This window comes from Homo sapiens, chromosome 21, assembly GCF_000001405.40.
Source record: "Homo sapiens chromosome 21, GRCh38.p14 Primary Assembly".
Lineage (NCBI taxonomy): Eukaryota > Metazoa > Chordata > Mammalia > Primates > Hominidae > Homo > Homo sapiens.
The window spans coordinates 37,204,859-37,222,313 of record NC_000021.9 but is presented as its reverse complement, the minus strand read 5'-3'; the positions used below and the strand labels follow the sequence as shown (position 1 = coordinate 37,222,313).

Below are 17,455 nucleotides of genomic sequence, written 5' to 3'. Positions count from 1 at the left end.
AGCCATCCCATTACTGGGTATATACCCAAAGGACTATAAATCATGCTGCTATAAAGACACACGCACGTGTATGTTTATTGCGGCATTATTCACAATAGCAAAGACTTGGAACCAACCCAAATGTCCAACAATGACAGATTGGATTAAGAAAATGTGGCACATATACACCATGGAATACTATGCAGCCATAAAAAACGATGAGTTCATGTCCTTTGTAGGGACATGGATGAAATTGGAAATCATCATTCTCAGTAAACTATCGCAAGAACAAAAAACCAAACACCGCATATTCTCACTCATAGGTGGGAACTGAACAATGAGAACACATGGACACAGGAAGGGGAACATCACACTCTGGGGACTGTTGTGGGGTGGGGGGAGGGGGAGGGATAGCATTGGGAGATATACCTAATGCTAGATGACGAGTTAGTGGGTGCAGCGCACCAGCATGGCACATGTATACATATGTAACTAACCTGCACACTGTGCACATGTACCCTAAAACTTAAAGTATAATAATAAAAAAGAAAAATTGCTTCAAATGAACAACAAAAAAAAAGAGGCTGTGAACAATGAATCTAAAACAATATTTTCTTTTGGGAAATGCCCGTTTTGGCAGGAATACATTTTGGCTCCGCTGTGCTGTGAATTCGGAGGAAAAGTAGGGAGGGCCGGAAAGCCCAGGGCTTCATGCAGAGTAGACATCAAGAACCCACCTGCTCTGGAGTCTTGGTGGGCAAGGGGAACGAACCTTCCAGTCCATTTCTACCGTCACCATAATTCCTGTGTCTGAATCTGAATCACCTTCTTCAAAAACTGGGGGCTGAGGTTGCCTCCACATGCTAACGCTGATTCAGGGCGGCAGCAGATGCTGGTGTTCTCAGTTCCTTCCTGCTTCCGCTTCCTGTTCAGGAACAGGGCCGCATTTTCCCATCCTCTTCGGCTGTAGGCGTGGTCACGTGACCAGGAGGGCGGGGCGCGCCTGCCTAGCATACGCTGGAGGACGGCGCCCTCACCCTGGCGGGAGGTGGATCCCCAGCGCGGTGCAGTTACATCGCAGACATGGGCTCGTCTATACGCTGCTGGACGGCCGGGGTCTGGGCTCCACAGCCGGGGGGCACCACCCTGGAGCTGGTGATAGGGGAGGGAATCGCCGCTCGGGCGCCCGGGCCTCGCGCGGAGCCTGCGTGCGCGGGAGTTCACGGGGCAAATCCTGCCCATCCTCCGCGCTCAGGCGTGGCTTCAAAAGCCTCGGGCCGGGTGGTGCAGCCCCAGCATAACCTGGCGCCCCGGTGGCTGCTGGAGTGGTTGGCTCAGAATGGAAGGAAACGGTGGGGTCTGCGTTACTCTGTGGTGATAAAAAAGAGAAGCGGCAGCTTAGCGCCAAGAATAAATGATGACCGCCGGAATCCCTGCCGTTAGGCGCAGGTCTTGGCATGAGAGCTGCAACAGGGCGGCCAGCTGGGCGCCAGGGGGCCTGGGCCGCCTGTCCGGTGCGGGTCCCCGAATATCCTGGGCTCTTCCGGGAAGTGCCGCTGCGGTGAGGCCAGAGCCTCCCGCTACGGAGGATGCGATGTGATGTGCTGTGCGTTGCTCTACTCAACGGAGCGCCATTCCCGTGGTTTCGCCTTGCTGCAGTTTCAGTAGATACCGGCTATTGATTTTGGTCTGAGACTCGCAGCCATGTGAACATTAGTGTTATTCTGGGTCAGGCCGTCTTCTAAGTGCTGTATGTTACCTCGTTATAGCGACCCTGTGAGGAGGGAACTGTTAGTAGCATTAGCAGTCTAGGAAAAGAAATCCATTTTGCCAGGCGCTTGTCCATCCGTCTGCGCACCTCCCCACCGTTCCATCCCAGGCGAGCAGTCTGTAACGTGGTGCAGTTTTGCCTGCGCTGCAGCCCATTCTTTCACCTCGCTTCATTTGGGTTTTACTTTGCCGTGTCATTGACAAGTTTTTCTATGCATTTGTTCCCATGTATGCATCACAGGTTATTAGCTGCGTCACCACGTGTTGAGACGCGCGAAGGGCTCTGTTACCTCTTCATGGTTTGAATTGTTACGTCACCCTGGCGTTCTTGAACAAAGAATTGGACAAAACACACAAAGCAAGGAAAGAAGGAAGCAACAAAAGCAGAGATTTGTTGAAAATGAAAGTACACCCACAAGGTGGGAGCAGCCCATGAGGCTGAAGGGCCCGGTGACACAATTTTCTGGGATTTAAATACCCTGTAGAGGTTTCCCATTGGTTACTTGGTGTACACCTTGTGTAAATGAAGTAGTGGACCATAATCAGTCTGATTGGTTGCAGGAGAGGACCAACCAGAGGCTGAAGCGAAGTTATAAAGCTATACCCTATGCAAACATCTGATTAGTTGCAGAAAGCAACCAATCAGAGGCTGAAGTTACAAAGTTATACTCCCATGCAAATGAAGTCTTGACCTGTGAACAGCCTCATTGGCTGTGGGAGGGGACCAATCAAAGGTACTTAGAGTTTATCTGCCACGTGGAAAAAGGGGGGTTGCAGAGGGAGTAGCCTCTGGTCCTTTTGTTACTTGGATGTGGAAAGTTGGGGTTTTCCTTTTGATTTAGTTCTAGGAAGTCAGCGTGAATTGGGCTTAGGTTTACTGCCTCCAGACCCTATTCTCCTGCCTCAGAATGGTCTCAGTTTTGATCAGCTGAGTCAAATGAAAATGAAGTCCTGAGACTAACGCAATCATTTGCAGCTGGATCCAGTTTAGGAAGGAGGCGAGTGATTAAAGGACCAGAAAGTCCGATCTAATTATATTCTAGGACTGATTTCTTCTATGTAGAGTAAAAATACTAGGGTATGTTCCAGACCCATTCAAAGGACTGAAATGTCCTTTAGTGAATGACCTCACAATACCTTCTGAGGGGTGTTTATTATTCCCATCTCACAGGTGAGCAGGCTGAGGCACAGAGAAACTGACCTGCCTAAGCCACGTAGCTCTGTTGATTCTTGGCCTGATATTCCCCCAACTTACTACAACCAACACAGAATTACAGTAGACCGCCATTGCCCTGCCATGGGTAAGACCTCATTGATGGGGACACGATCAGTTCTTCGTGAACCATTACTGTTGAAGCCACCATTCATCATTTCCAGCTGGTTTTCAAAAAGGTAGAATAAAGTTTTATGCGAAGAAATCAGTTTTCATTGTGAGAGCTACCCAAGCTAACTCATTTTGGGACTCCGAATAAGAGTAGATATTAAAAACACAAAGCAGAACAACTGCCCGGGAAAATGCTCTATGAAGGTAAGGTCTTCTTTCGAATATAAACAGTTCTGCAACCTAAAGGCTGTCAAAACTAGCCACTTTGGTAGGGAGAAAAAAAAATCATACATGTGAGTCTAAGAGGTGGAGGTGAGAATAAGCCTCCTGGGTCAGCATCTTCTCCACTATGGCCACTGAAAATTATTCATATTTGAGACTATCTTAAGTGGCTACAGTGGTCAGAGAATATGACATTACTAAGAAACAGAAGGGCACCTAATTTGTAGAATCAAAGCGGATCCAGCTATACTCACACAAAATGCAGTCAAATTATTAGAGTGTATCACTCAAAAGATGCAGAAAGGCAGACTGAGGAATTAAAACTCAGCAAGGATCTCCTGTGCTTTACTGTGCTTTTCTATGAATGTCACTGGTAAGATGGAATCCCTTGGATAGACCCCGCTCCAGGCCGGCAGGATTCTGACTTTGTAGGGCTTTTCATGTCCAACCCCAGCCAGTCTCTTTACAGTCTTGTGTATAACATACAAAAGACATATGCTGTGGAGGTTTTAAGTACTTAGAAAAGTATGAAAACAGAATTTGTGCCTATGTCTGTATATTGTCGCATTCTGGGGAGTGCCAGCTTGATCAGGACTAAGGGTCAGGATAATACCAAAAGTTTATGGTTTACTGTCATCTGCATCAACTGTCATTTCCCCAAAAGATGTTTCTGGTTCCCTTTACAAACGTCCAGCTGTGGTAGGAGGCTGAGCATGAAGACTTAGGGACAAAGCAACTCAAACGAAAAGCATTATGAGAGGTAGGGTTTGGTCAGCAAAGGCCCCATAAAGCAGGGTGTGGTCACTTCCTTTCTCAGAGGTCACTGTCCCCCACCTGGGTCAAGGACTAGACCTTCAAGAACTAGACCACAACCTCTGGGTCTTAAGTGAAAGGAAGGAGACCAGCTTTTCTGTCTACAGATGTATAGCCTCTGATGGGGCCACCTGGGGAGGCTGGGCCAGGAGCCCAGATGTACTGCCGCATGATACACCAAAAAAGGATGCACCCAGGCTTAGCTGCAGAAAGGTGAGAGAAAGGAGCAAAAAACTAAAATCTTAAATATTCATGTTTGTTTTAAAACAATTTTCGACACCAATATGTATTAAGAAAACACAAGTTCAAAGTTGAATTCAAAATCCCCTACATGGCTGGGCGCAGTGGCTCATGCCTGTAATCTCAGCACTTTGGGAGGCCGAGGCAGGCGGATCAATTGAGTCCAAGAGTTTGAGACCAGCCTGGCCAACATGGCGAAACCCTGTCTCTAACTTAAAAAAAGATAGAAAAATTAGCTGGGCATGGTAGTACACACTTGTAATTCCAGGTACTTGGGAGGCTGAGGCATGAGAATTGCTTGAACCCAGGAGGCAGAGGTTGCAGTGAGCTGAGATCACGCCACAGCACTCCAGCTTGGGTGACAGAGTGAGACTCTGTCTCAAAACAAACAAAAAAGCAAAATCCCATACATAAAAAAGATATGCTTAAGAAGTGAGTGTACTTTTACCACGATTTTCCTTTATATCTGGTAGCAAATACATGTTTTTTAATCCATGGAAACTGCAAAAATCAGTTACATGCATAGCAACAAAGGAAATCACAATTGGCTGGGTGCGGTGGCTCACGCCTGTAATCCCAGCACTTTCGGAGGCCGAGGCGGGCAGATCACGAGGTCAGGAGATCGAGACCATCCTGGCTAACACGGTGAAACTCCGTCTCTACTAAAAATACAAAAAATTAGCCGGGCGTGGTGGTGGGCGCCTGTAGTCCCAGCTACTCAGGAGGCTAAGACAGGAGAATGGCGTGAACCCGGGAGGCGGAGCTTGCAGGGAGGCGGAGCTTGCAGTGAGCCGAGATCGCGCCACTGCACTTCAGCCTGGGCAACAGAGTGACTGCATCTCAAAATAAATAAATAAATATAAAGAAATGTATTTTACCAGCCTGGGCACAAGACGAAACCCCATCTGTACCAAAAATACAAAAAATTAGCTGGGCGTGCTGGCGTGTGCCTGTGGTCCCAGCTACTCGGGAGGCTGAGGTGGGAGGATCACTTGAGCCTAGGGGGCGGAGGTTGAAGTGAGCCTAGATCACGCCAGTGCACTCCAGCCAGGGCGACAGAGTGACACCCCATCTCAAAAAACAAAGAAATGTATTATAAAATAATACAGATTTCAGTACATAGACACTCAGGCACAGCTAAACTGGAAGATATCAAGCCGTGATACTGACATATTCAGTGCATGGCCTCGGGTAGAATCACCATGAATGTGAGAGCTACAAATGCAGAGGCTTCAGTGCATGTTGTGCAGGGGACTCACACTGCGGACGCGGAGGGGGCGGGGGCTATTGGATAATACTACCTTCCAAAATTATGAACAACCCTTAGTAACGTTCAGAAAAAAACAACAAAAGGGCAATCAAACCTCAAACCTCAATGTGCACAGTTACAGCATTCCTGAGAAATTCACGTACAGTAAAGCTCACAAGATACTTGGTGTTTATACATAAAATGAAGTGAGGTCTGGACCCACCATGTCCAGCACAGTTGCCATGGGCCACATGTGCCAGCCACATGTGGCTACTGAGCACTTGCAATGTGGCTGCTCTGGATGTTGTAGACCTGGGATGAGAAAAAAAAAAGATGTAATATACCTCATTAATAATTTTACATTAGGCCAGGCGTGGTGGCTCACGCCTGTAATCCCAGCACTTTGGGAGGCCAAGGCAGATGGATCACCTGAGGTCAGGAGTTCAAGACCAGCCTGGTCAACATGGTGAAATCCCGTCTCTACTAAAAATACAAAAAAAAAAAAAAATTAGCCAGGCATGGTAGCGGGCACCCGTAATCCCAGCTACTCTGGAGGCCGAGGCAGGATGATTGTTTGAACCTGGGAGGCAGAGTTTGCAATGAGCCGAGATCACGCCACTGCACTGCAGCCTGGGCAACAAGAGCAAAACTCCAACTCAGATAATAATAATAATAATGACAATAATTTTATATTGATTTTATTTTTAAACATTTTAGATATACTAGATTAAACAAAATATAATTCTATATTCTATTTCTAAAATTCTATTTCCTCATTTTTACTTTTTATTTTTACTTATTTTTTATTTTTTTAGAGAGGGAGTCTCGCTATGTTGCCCAGGCTGAAATGCAGCGCCTATTCACAGGTGCAGTCCCACTACTGATTAGCATGGGAGTTTTGACCTGCTCCATTTCTGATCTGGGCCGGTTCACACCTCCTTAGGCAACCTGGTAGTCCCCCACTCCCAGGAGGTCACCATATTGATGCTGAACTTACTGTGGACACTCAATCAGCACAGCACACTACAGCCCAGAACTCCCAGGCTAACGGGATCCTCCTGCCTCGGCCTCCCAAGTAGGTGAGACTACAGGTGACTGCCATCGCACTCAGCTCATTTTTACTTTTCAAATTCAGCTCTTAGAAATCTTAAAATTATGGGCCGGGCACAGTGGCTCATGCCGGTAATCCCAACACTTTGGGAGGCCAAGGCAGGTGAATCACTTGAGGCCAGGAGGGCAACATGGTGAAACCCTGTCTCTACTAAAAATATAAAAAATTAGCCAGGCGTGGTGGTGGGCTCCTGTTATCCCAGCTACTCGGGAGGCTGAGGCAGGAGAATTGCTTGAACCTGGGAGGCGGAGGTTGCAATGAGCTGAGATTGTGCCACTGCACTCCAGCCTTGGCGACAGAACAAGACTCCATCTCAAAAAAAAAAAAAAAAAAAAAATTATAGATGCAGTTCACATCACTGGGCAGCAGCACGGATGTAGGTGGAGGTCAGTGGGACTTTGGAAAGTCTTACCGAGCACAGAATCAGACTTCGCTCTCTGGGACTGTCTGGCACATTGCACAACATCTGGTCTCGAACTCCCAACCTCAAGCAATCTGCCCTGCTTGGCTTCCCAAAATACTCGGATTACAGGCATGAGCCACCACGCTCGGCTCAGAATTCATATTTTAAGTACACATGAACATTTGCCACGATAGATTATACTGTGGACTATAAAACAACTCAAAGTCTTAATAATTGTAAAAGGATTTGAATTATACAAAGTATATGCTCTGACTCTTGGAATTAAATTAGAAATTAGTAACAGAAAAATATCTGAAAACTCTCCAAATACTTGGAAACTAAATAGCATACTTTTAAATAACTCATGGGTTAAAGAGAAGATCAAAATTAGGAAATATTTTGAACTTAACCAAAATGAAAACCCAACATTACAGGCCCACATGGGTTTAGTGATGACTTTTAACAAAATTTATGGAAGAAATAATACCAATTCCACACAAACTCTTTCAGAAAATCACAGAGAAAAGAATACCAAACCAGGTGTGGTGGCTCACGCCTGCAATCCCAGCAGTTTGGGAGTCTGAGGCAGGAGGATCACTTGAGCCCAGGAGTTTGAGACCAGCCTAGGCAACATAGAGAAACTTTGTGTACACACACAAAAAAAAAAAAAAAAAAAAATTAGCCCCAACTACTCAGGAGGCTGAAGTGGGAGGATCGCTTGAGCCTGAGAAGTTGAGGCTTCAGTGAGCTGGGATTGCACCACTGCACTCCAGCCTGGGCGACAGAGTGAGACCCTGTCTTTTTTTTTTTTTTTTTTTGAGACAGAGTCTCACTCTGTCACCCAGGCTGGAGTGCAGTGGCGCAATCTTGGCTCACTGCAACCTCCGCCCTCCAAGTTCAAGAGATTCTCCTGCCGCAGCCTCCCAAGTAGTTGGGATTAAAGATGCCTGCCACCACGCCTGGCTAATTTTTTTGTATTTTTCGTAGAGATGGGGTTTCACCATCTTGGCCAGGCTGGTCTTGAACTCCTGACCTCGTGATCCACTCACCTCGGCTTCCCAAAGTGCTGAGATTAGAGGAGTGAGCCACTGCACCCGGCCCGAGACCCTGTTGGAAAGGGAAGGGAAGGGAGGGGAGGGGAGGGGAGGGGAGGGGAGGGGAGGGAAGGGAAGGGAAGGGAAACGGAGAGAGGGAGGGAGGAAGGAAGGATGTCTGGGTTCATTATATGAAGCCAAATCACCTTGTTATCAAAGTCAAAGAAAGACAATATAAGAAAATATAGATTAATATTCTTCATGGACATGGATGCAAAAAACTTTTAAAAATTAGAAATTGGAAACAACTATTTCTAATTAGTTGGGACCACAGGCATGCGCCACCATGCCCAGCTAATTTTCTATTTTTAGTAGAGACAGGGTTTCACCATGTTAGTCAGGCTGATCTCAAACTCCCAACCTCAGGTGATCCGCCCACCTAGGCCTCCCAAAGTGCTGGGATTACAGGCGTGAGCCACCGCGCCCGGCCCACATGCCCAGCTAATTTTTGTAATTTTTGTAGAGATGGGGTTTCACCATGTTAGCCAGGCTAGTCTCGAACTCCTGGCCTCAAGTGATTCACTCGCTTCAGCCTCCCAAAGTGCTGGGATTACAGGCATGAGCCACCACGCCCAACCAGGAAAATGCAAATTAAAACCACAAAGATATCACCTTATACCTGTTACAATGGCTATTATCTTTTTGATAGTGAAAGAGGCCGGGCATACTCTCATGTTCACTGAATCATTATTCACAATAGCTGAGATATGAAATCAACCTGGGTGACCATCAACAGATGGATGGATAAAGAAAATATGATACATCTATAGACACCATGGAATACTATTCAGCTTTTAAAAAGAAGGAAATTCTGGCTGGGCACAGTGGCTCATGCCTGCAATCCCAGCACTTTGGGATGCTGAGGTGGGTGGATCATGGGGTCAGGAGTTCAAGACCAGCCTGGCCAAGATGGTGAAACCCTGTCTCTACTAAAAATACAAAAAATTAGCCTGACGTGGTGGTGGGCACCTGTAATCCCAGCTACTCAGGAGGCTGAAGCAGAGAATTGCTTGAAGCCGGGAAGCAGAGGTTGCAGTGAGCTGAGATCACGCCACTGCACTCCAGCCTGGGCAACAGAGCGAGACTCTGTCTCAAAAAAAAAAAAAAAAAAAAAAGGGCCCTTCCTTCCCTTCCTTCCCTTTCTTTCCTTCCTTCCCTCCTTCCTTTCTTTCCTTCTTTCCTTCTTTCTTTCTTTCCCTTTCTTTCTTTCTTTTTTATTTAAGGCTGTCTCTTATGGAAAAAAAAATAAGGAAATTCTGTCATTTATGACAACATGGATGAACCTAGAGGGCATTATGTTAAGCCAGTCGGGCTGGGCATGGTGGCTCACACCTGTAATCCCAGCACTCTGGGAGACCAAGGTGGGTGGATCACTTGAGGTCAGGAGTTTGAGACCAACCCCATCTCTACCAAAAATACAAAAATTAGCCGTGTGTGGTGGCGCACGCCTGTAGTCCCAGCTATTTGGGAGGCAGAGGTTGCAGTGAGCTGAGATCATGCCACTGCACTCCAGCCTGGGAGACAGAGCAAGATTCTGTCTCATTTAAAAAAAAAAAAAAAAAAAAAAAAAAAAAAAGTAAGCCAGTCACAGAAAGACAAATACCACATGATTTTACTTGCATATGGAATCTAAAAAAGTCAAACTCATAGAAGTAGAGAATAGGATGGTGTCTACCAGAGGCTGGGGAGTAGGGACAGGAGAGAGAATGGAAATACGTTGTCAAAGGGTAAAAAGTTTCAGTTAGGCAGAAGGAATAAGTGTTCAAGATCTATTTGCACAGCAGGGTGACTACAGTTAATAATGCATTGTATATTCAAAATAGCTAAAAGAGTAAATTTCAGATGTATCACCACAAAAAAATAAGTGAGTTGGTGGATATATTTGTTAGCTTGATTTAACTATTCCACATTGTATACACATATCAAAACATCACAATGTATCCCATAAATATATACACTTATGATTTGTCAATTTAAAATAATATTCACTTCAAAAATTAGAACATTGGATTCAACAATAATATAAAAAGGATGGCCAAGTGGGGTTTATCCCAAGAAAGTAAAGTTGGCTTAACATTTAAAAATAATTTATCATATTAACAGATTAAACAAGGAAAACTTAAAATTTGATACATATAATCATCCAAATTGCAGAAAAAATTTGACAAATCTGTTATTGACTTCTGATTTAAAAAAAACTTTCAGCAAATTAGAACTATAAAAGAACTTCCTCAACCTGCTAAAGGGCATCTACAAAAAATCTACAATCAACATTATACTTAGTAGTAAAATACTGAATGCTTTCAGTCTAAGATGAAGAATGAAGTAAAATTGCCCACTCTCATCTCTTCTATTCAACATTTGGACTTAATTGCATTGTATGTAGTTCAGTAAGATAAGAAATAAAAGGCATCCAGATTGGGAAGAAAGAATTTAAACTATCTTTATTCTCAGATGACATGATTATTTATGTAGAAAATTCTACAGAATCCATAAAAAGAAGCTACTAGAACCAATAAGTGGCTTTAGCAAGGTTGCAGGATATAAAATAAATATACAAAAACCAATTGCTTTTTTATATCCTAGCAATGAACAATCAGAAATTAAAATTAAAGTAAACATTGTTAACAGCATCAAAAATAGAAAATACTTAGGGATGAATTTCACAAAAGATGTGCAAGATTGAAAGATGTGTACACCAGAAACTACAAAATATTCCTGAAAGAAATTAAAGAATACCTGAATAAATGGAGAGATATTCCATATTCACAGAGTGGAAGATTCAATCATGTAAAGGTGTCAAGTCTCCCTATATTGATCTATAGATGCTTAGATCAAAATCCAAGCAGACTTTTTGGTAAAAATTGATGTTAATTGTAAAATTAATATGGCAATAAATAGAATAGTCAACAGCAAAATTGGAAAAGAACAAAATTAGAGGACTTACGCTACATGATTTCAAGGCTCCAAGTTGAAATAACCAGTTAACTATATGCAAAAAGAAAGTGAACCTCAATCCTCATGATATAGCACATACAAAAATCAACTAGAAAATGATCAGAGACCTAAATGTAAGAACACTAAAAAACTTTGAGAAGAATAATCTTATTGACTTTGGGTGGTTTGGCAGATTTGTTTCCTCCTTCTTCTTTCCTTCTCTCCTCCTCCTCCCCCTCCCCACCCTTTCCCTTCCTCCCCCTCCCCCTCCCTCTCCCTCTCCCTCTCCCTCTTCTCCTTCTCCTTCTTCTTCTGAAAAAAGAGATGGGGAGGGGGGGATCTTGCTGTGTTGCCTAGGCTGGTCTCAAACTCCTATACTCAAGTAATCCACCCACTTTGGCCTCCCAAAGTACTGGATTACAGGCACAAGCCACCATGCCCAGCCTTGCTGATTTTTTTTAAATAAAAAAAAAACTAAGTATAAAAATAATAAGAAAAAAATAATAAATTGGACTTCATCAAAATTGAAGACTTTTCCTCAAAATTTCAAAAGACCGTTAAAAAATACTGTTAAGAAAATGAAAATGCAAGCCACAGACTTGAAGAAAAATTACAAAACACATCCGACAAATGACTTGTGTCTAGAATATATAAAGTCCTAAAAAGAAGCAACCGTCCATAAGACACATTCACTCGTGTGCCATGTCAGTTTACCATTGCCTTGGCAACACCCGGACATTACTTCCCCTTCCCATGGCAAGGACTCAACAACCCAGAAGTTACCACCCTTTTCCTAGAAACTCCTGCATAATCTGCCCTTTAATTTACATATAATTAAAAGTGGCTATAAATAGGACTGCAGCACTGCCTCTGAGCTGTTACTCTGGACGCACTGCCTATGGGGTAGCCCTGCTCTGCAGGGAGCAGCACCTGTGCTGCCGCTATGCATGGCCGCTTCAATAAAAATTGCTGTCTTAACACCACCAGCTTGCCCTTGAATTCTTTCCAGGGTGAAGCCAAGAACCCTCCCGGGCTAAGCCCCGATTTTGGGTCTCACCTGCCCTGCATCAGCCTCATGAGCAAACGTGAAGGGGAAAGCCACTGCAGCCGTGGTGTGAGGGTGAGCAGTAGTAAACAGGGGTTCCAAGGCTTTTGCCACCTGCATGCCTAAGAAGGTTTGGTTTTGGCATGGGAACCTGAGCTGAACCTTGGGGGACAAGTGGGTTTTGTATTAAGAGGAAGAAGCAGAATGGCTAGAGGAGAGAGTTGGCTTAGCAAGTGCAAATCCTGACATTTTCCAGTTACATGACCTTGGGGAAATCACTTAACCTTTTAGGTTTATTTCCTTGTCTGTAAAATGCAGGCAAGAGTAATCTCTTCTTCATAGGGTACTTGGGGAAATTAAATGCTGCAATGTTTGTGGACAGGTAACACAGTACCTGAAATGACCATTAGTAAATATCATGTTGGGAGATGGTGAAGAGCAGGGCTGGAGTGAGGGGCTTAAGGAAGGTCACATGGAGGTGGGAATTCAGATTCAGAGGCCACCACAGCCAGCTTGTGGGGTGTGGCTCTTGTTCTGGAGCCTGGGTTGAGTTTTTTTGTGTTTACTGAGCAGCTAGTATGTGCAAGGCACATTCATTTAACCCCAGCGCTCCAAGAGACTAACTTCTGAGGCCCCTGCTGCAGGGAGCAGGGCTGTGGCAGGGGTAGATGGGAGCTTGGGAAGGGGTTGAGGGGGCTGGCCCAGGCTTCAGTGAAACCAGGTGTGAGGAGGTAAAGTGAGAATGAGGCTGATGGCTTGGGGTGGGTAGCAGTGAGGGCAGGTGCTTGGGCCAGGACTGGGATCCATGGGTGCTCCCATGGGCCTGCAGGGTAGACCCACTGGCAGGACTGACTAGGTCAATTTTAAGCCACAGGAGAAAGCCGGTGGGGGTGTTGGAGGAAGCAAGGGCTCCGTAAGGCCCTGACGGATAGAGTAACACAGGTGACATCACATCAGAAATGCCCCCTACCTGGCCCCAGACCAAGTCCCCAGAGTCTAAGGCCACGTGCAAAACTAGTATTTCATGAGGTTGACCAACAAGCTGCACCGCCTGCCGCATGAATCCCTGAGCTGCCAGGCTCAGGCCACTGCCCCCCAGCCCCCACCCCCATCCACCCCCTGGGAATCCCCACTTCTGTACAATCCTCCAGGCAAAGAGCGGCTCTGGCCTCCTCGGGCTCTGGAAACACCCTAGCGGGCATCGCTCCACTGGCTTCTCTGCCTGACTGCCCGCCCCTGCCCCTACCTCCTCCCCCGTCCCTCAGGCTGCACTCAGATGACGCCGTTCCTGGCTTCTGTCTAAACCTGGGTCAAGTTTAGACAAAGAGACTCCCTCATCCCCTTCCCAGCTTCGTTTTCCTCGGGATCACCTGTGACCTCCCATGTATTGTGTGATTGTAGATGACATCCGTCTCCCCTCCTGCAGTACTGAGGCCTTCCATCATCTCTTCTGTCCCCTTTGTATGGAAGCACCTAGAACAGGGCAGCACATGAGACCAGATGAATGAATGGATGAGCCAGTGAACAGGTGAATGTGTGGAGTTCAGTGGCCCGTCCAGATGACCAGGGCCGCATGGCTCACCCCAGAGATAAAGCCAGATGCACTGGAGCCCCCGGGTAGAAGCGAAGGTGGAGAGGAGCCAGCTGAGGACACCAGACCCCTCCCCTAGGAGAGGTCCCCAGTGGGGGAGGGAGGAGGGGAAGGAGGGGGAGCTGGACAGTCTTCTGAAGGAAGGGGTGAGGCACTGTGCCTCAGCTTTCAAAGGTCTGGCAGTTTCGAGGTGGTGGCAGTTTGGAAACTGGAAGCAAAAGCGATGTGGCCTCCAGTGAGTCCCCAGTCAAAGCCGGAGTCCTGCTGGCGCTGGGGCGGCAGCCAGCGGCGGGAGGCACAGTGTGATCTGTTCAATGGCTTCCTCTTTTCAGAGGCTGCTGGCTCACCCCGCGGGAATGAGGTGGCACTTCAGGACATGAGGCTTGGAGCTGGTGGCAGATTTCTTGGAACTGGCGGTGGGGAGATCTAAATTAAGAGCTTTCTATCACACCAAATAAATAGAAACTGAAATAGAGGACTGAAGGAATTAGGCAGAATGCCTTTATACACAACTTCTGAAAAATACCTAGAATGGTATTTATGCACTGAAGTCCCAAGGTATTTGCTGAAAACAATGACAGGTCTGTTTGACACAAAGGCACATGTTACAGAGAGCAAGCTTGTCTCTTTGAAAGTGCCTGCCACAGGAGCCCTGTAACCATACCAGCTGCTCGTTGTGGAGGCTGTCCTGGCAAGGCCAAGGGACCGGCCCCAGTCCTTCCTCTGGGAGGTAAGATGAGTCACCTCTGGCATGGAGGTGTCCTCCTGGTGGCTTCTTTTTGGGCACTCCTGAAACAGACCTGCTTTGCATTCACATGCACCCTCTCAGGCAGGGCCTGGCCAGAGGCAGGAAGGGGACTTCCTTGGTGTTTCGTAGCACAGGACCTGTTGTGGCAGGGACAGAGGTTCTGCTGGGAGTGGCCCCCAAGGAACCACTAAGAGGCTAATGCAATGACAGACTCGGCCTGTCTCTGGGCCAGAGACGCTGCAGAGAGCAGTGTCTCCTTTCCAGGATGGCAGAGAACCAGGCAAGGCCAGGCGGTGGCAAGGGAAGTGAGGACCCTAGCCAAAGAGCAATGGGAAGGAGCTCTCTCAGCAGAAATCATCCCAGCAGGGTTTGCTGAGTGCCTGAATCACCATTTCAAATGTGAAATGAGAAAGGTATCAAGCACCACCAGACCAGCACCACCAGACCAGCAGAACTCCAGGCTTTACCAGCTTTTCCAGGGAAGCAAAACAGCATTTGCCAATGACTGTGGTGTTAGTACTCCAACGATGGTTGATTTCAAGCTACCAGTGTCACCCCACTAAACACAGAGTTGGGAAGAGTTGCATTATACGGTATTTCCACCATACAGATACTATAGACCTCAATAATCCCAACATAATAAGTTGAGGTAATCAGGAGTACATTGGTTTTTGATATAAGTGTATACATGATTCAATTTTTTTTTTTGTTTTTTGAGACAGGGTCTCACTCTGTCCCCCAGGCTGGAGTGCAGTGGTGTGATTACAGCTCACTGTAGCCTCTCACACCCCAGACCTTCACCCATGCCCCAGAGAACAGCAAAACAGGTCCTTGCTAAGTACATGGTCCTACCTGCTAGAACCAGGAAACTTCAAGACAACTTAAAATACCCTGTGTATTGGTCCGTTCTCACGCTGCTATAAAGAACTACCTGAGACCGGCTAATTTATGAAGAAAAGAGGTTTAATTGACTCACAGATCCACAGGCTTAACAGGAAGCATGGCTGGGAGACTCAGGAAAATGTACAATCATGGAGGAAGGTGAAGGGGAAGCAAGCATGACTTACATGGGGGCAGGAGAGAGAGAGCCAAAGGGGAATGCCACACACTTCTAAACTATCAGATCTCATGAGGACTCACTATCATGAGATCAGCAAGGGGGAAATCCGCCCCCATGATCCAATCACCTCCCACCAGGCCCTTCCTCCTATTCGACGTGAGATTTGGGCAGGGACACGAATCCAAACCCTATCACCCTGCCAGCAATGTTCTAATTTATATTTCCTTGGTGATTGATTTTGAACAAATGTGGCTATCAAAATGCCTACAAACCATCTGGATACTTGCGAAGTGCCTATTCAAATCTCTTGCCTATTTCTAATATATTGTTATCTTTTTCTTACTGATTTGTAGTTATTTGTACATTCTGGAGGAGTCTTGTTGGAAGTGTGGATTACCAGCGTCTTCCACTTCATGGTTTGCCTTTTCACTCTCTCAACAGCAACTTAAGAGTTCTTAGTGCAGACCAAAATCCAGTTTATCAACATTTTATTCTTGGAGCTAGTGATTCCTTAAAATCTTTGCCTATTCCAGGGGCAGGAAGATTGTCTGTTTTCTTGTAGAAGCTGCATTATTTTGCTTTCCATATTGAGGACTGTGATCCATTGGGAATTGACATTTGTATATGCTGTGAGAGGTCAAGCTTCATTTATTTTCATATGGAGATCTTGTTTTTGTTTTTGTTTTGAGACAGGGTAACTCTGTCACCCAGGCTGGAGTGCAGTGGTGCAGTCTCGGCTCACTGCAACTTCTGCCTCTCAGGCTCAAGTGATCCTCCCACTTCAGCCTCCCAAGTAGCTGGGACCACAGGCATGTGCCACCGTGCCTAGCTAATTTTTGCATTTTTTGCAGATGGGGTTTCACTATGTTGTCCAGGCTTGTCTCAAACTCCTGAGCTCAAACAATCTGCCCACCTCAGCATCCCAAAGTGCTGGGATTTCAGATGTGAGCCACCAGGCCCTGGCCCCCAAATTATTCTTCTTAACATAGTTAAAAGTCTCTTTTTGCCATGATGGTTTATCAATCCGACTTGATTAATGGATGACTCATTAGGATTTTCTAGTTTACTATTGTTTAGTTTCTGCATTCTTGCTAATATTTATCTTTTTTCACCTTTAAAGGGAGAATAGGAAGAGACAGTATAAAGTGGAGGCAATGGGCTGGGCACAGTGCCTCATGCCTATAAATCCCTGCACTTTGGGAGGCCAAGGCAGGTGGATCACCTGAGGTCAGGAGTTCCAGACCAGCCTGGTCAACGTGATAAAACCGTGTCTCTACTAAAAATATAAAAATTAGCCAGGTGTACTGGTGTGCATTTGTAATCCCAGCTACTCAGGAGGCTGAGGCAGAAGAATCGCTTGAACCTAGGAGGTGGAGGTTTCAGTGAGTGGAGATCATGCCACTGCACTCCAGCCTGGGCGACAGAGCTAGACTCCGTCTCAAAAAAAAAAAAAAAGTAGAGGCGATGATGGAACAAATGGTAACAGTTCTCACCCTAAGCCAGGGAGTCTGGACTACACACCTCCACTACAATGAGCCTTGCCTGGCCACACCGATGCTCCAGGGCATATCCCTAGTGAGCCCACCACAGGGCCCTGATCCTCAACCCAAACTGGATAGGAAAGGTTGACTCAAAGCTGCTCAGTCCGATAATTTGGGAAAGCCAAAAGGTGAAATGATCCATTGCTATAGAATCACAATATTCCTGAAGTCAATTCAGGGAGATCTCAGGAACAAAGCTGTTATTTTCCAAAACGACTTTGAGGTGATCTGATTTCTTCTTGCTCTTTTCACCACTGGATCGTGTTCCAATCCAGGCCACACTGAGGAAGTGGACTTCCTAACTAACGGCGGCTTTCCTACTGTACTA

At 46.0% G+C, this 17,455-nt stretch overlaps 1 long non-coding RNA gene and 1 pseudogene across 1 annotated transcript, besides 3 other annotated features; both read right to left on the bottom strand.

Moving 5' to 3' along the window:
- DSCR9 (Down syndrome critical region 9) lies at positions 578–13,811 on the bottom strand. The gene is made up of 3 exons (NR_026719.2): positions 13,770–13,811; positions 13,558–13,660; positions 578–2,076 (listed from the first exon to the last, which is right to left on the bottom strand). It is a non-coding gene; the product is annotated as a Down syndrome critical region 9 (long non-coding RNA).
- Positions 1,275–1,424: an enhancer, noted in NCBI's record as "active region_18445". NCBI's record gives its function as "activates an Ori minimal core promoter by ATAC-STARR-seq in GM12878 lymphoblastoid cells {active_cell/tissue: GM12878}" and the evidence as "EXISTENCE:reporter gene assay evidence [ECO:0000049][PMID:35858748]".
- On the bottom strand, positions 6,411–6,709 carry RN7SL678P (RNA, 7SL, cytoplasmic 678, pseudogene; annotated as a pseudogene).
- Positions 13,823–14,012: an enhancer, noted in NCBI's record as "active region_18444". NCBI's record gives its function as "activates an Ori minimal core promoter by ATAC-STARR-seq in GM12878 lymphoblastoid cells {active_cell/tissue: GM12878}" and the evidence as "EXISTENCE:reporter gene assay evidence [ECO:0000049][PMID:35858748]".
- Positions 14,311–15,147: an enhancer, noted in NCBI's record as "H3K4me1 hESC enhancer chr21:38579468-38580304 (GRCh37/hg19 assembly coordinates)". NCBI's record gives its function as "activates a minimal SCP1, AML or CMV promoter by ChIP-STARR-seq in primed H9 embryonic stem cells {active_cell/tissue: H9 hESC(primed)}" and the evidence as "EXISTENCE:reporter gene assay evidence [ECO:0000049][PMID:30033119]".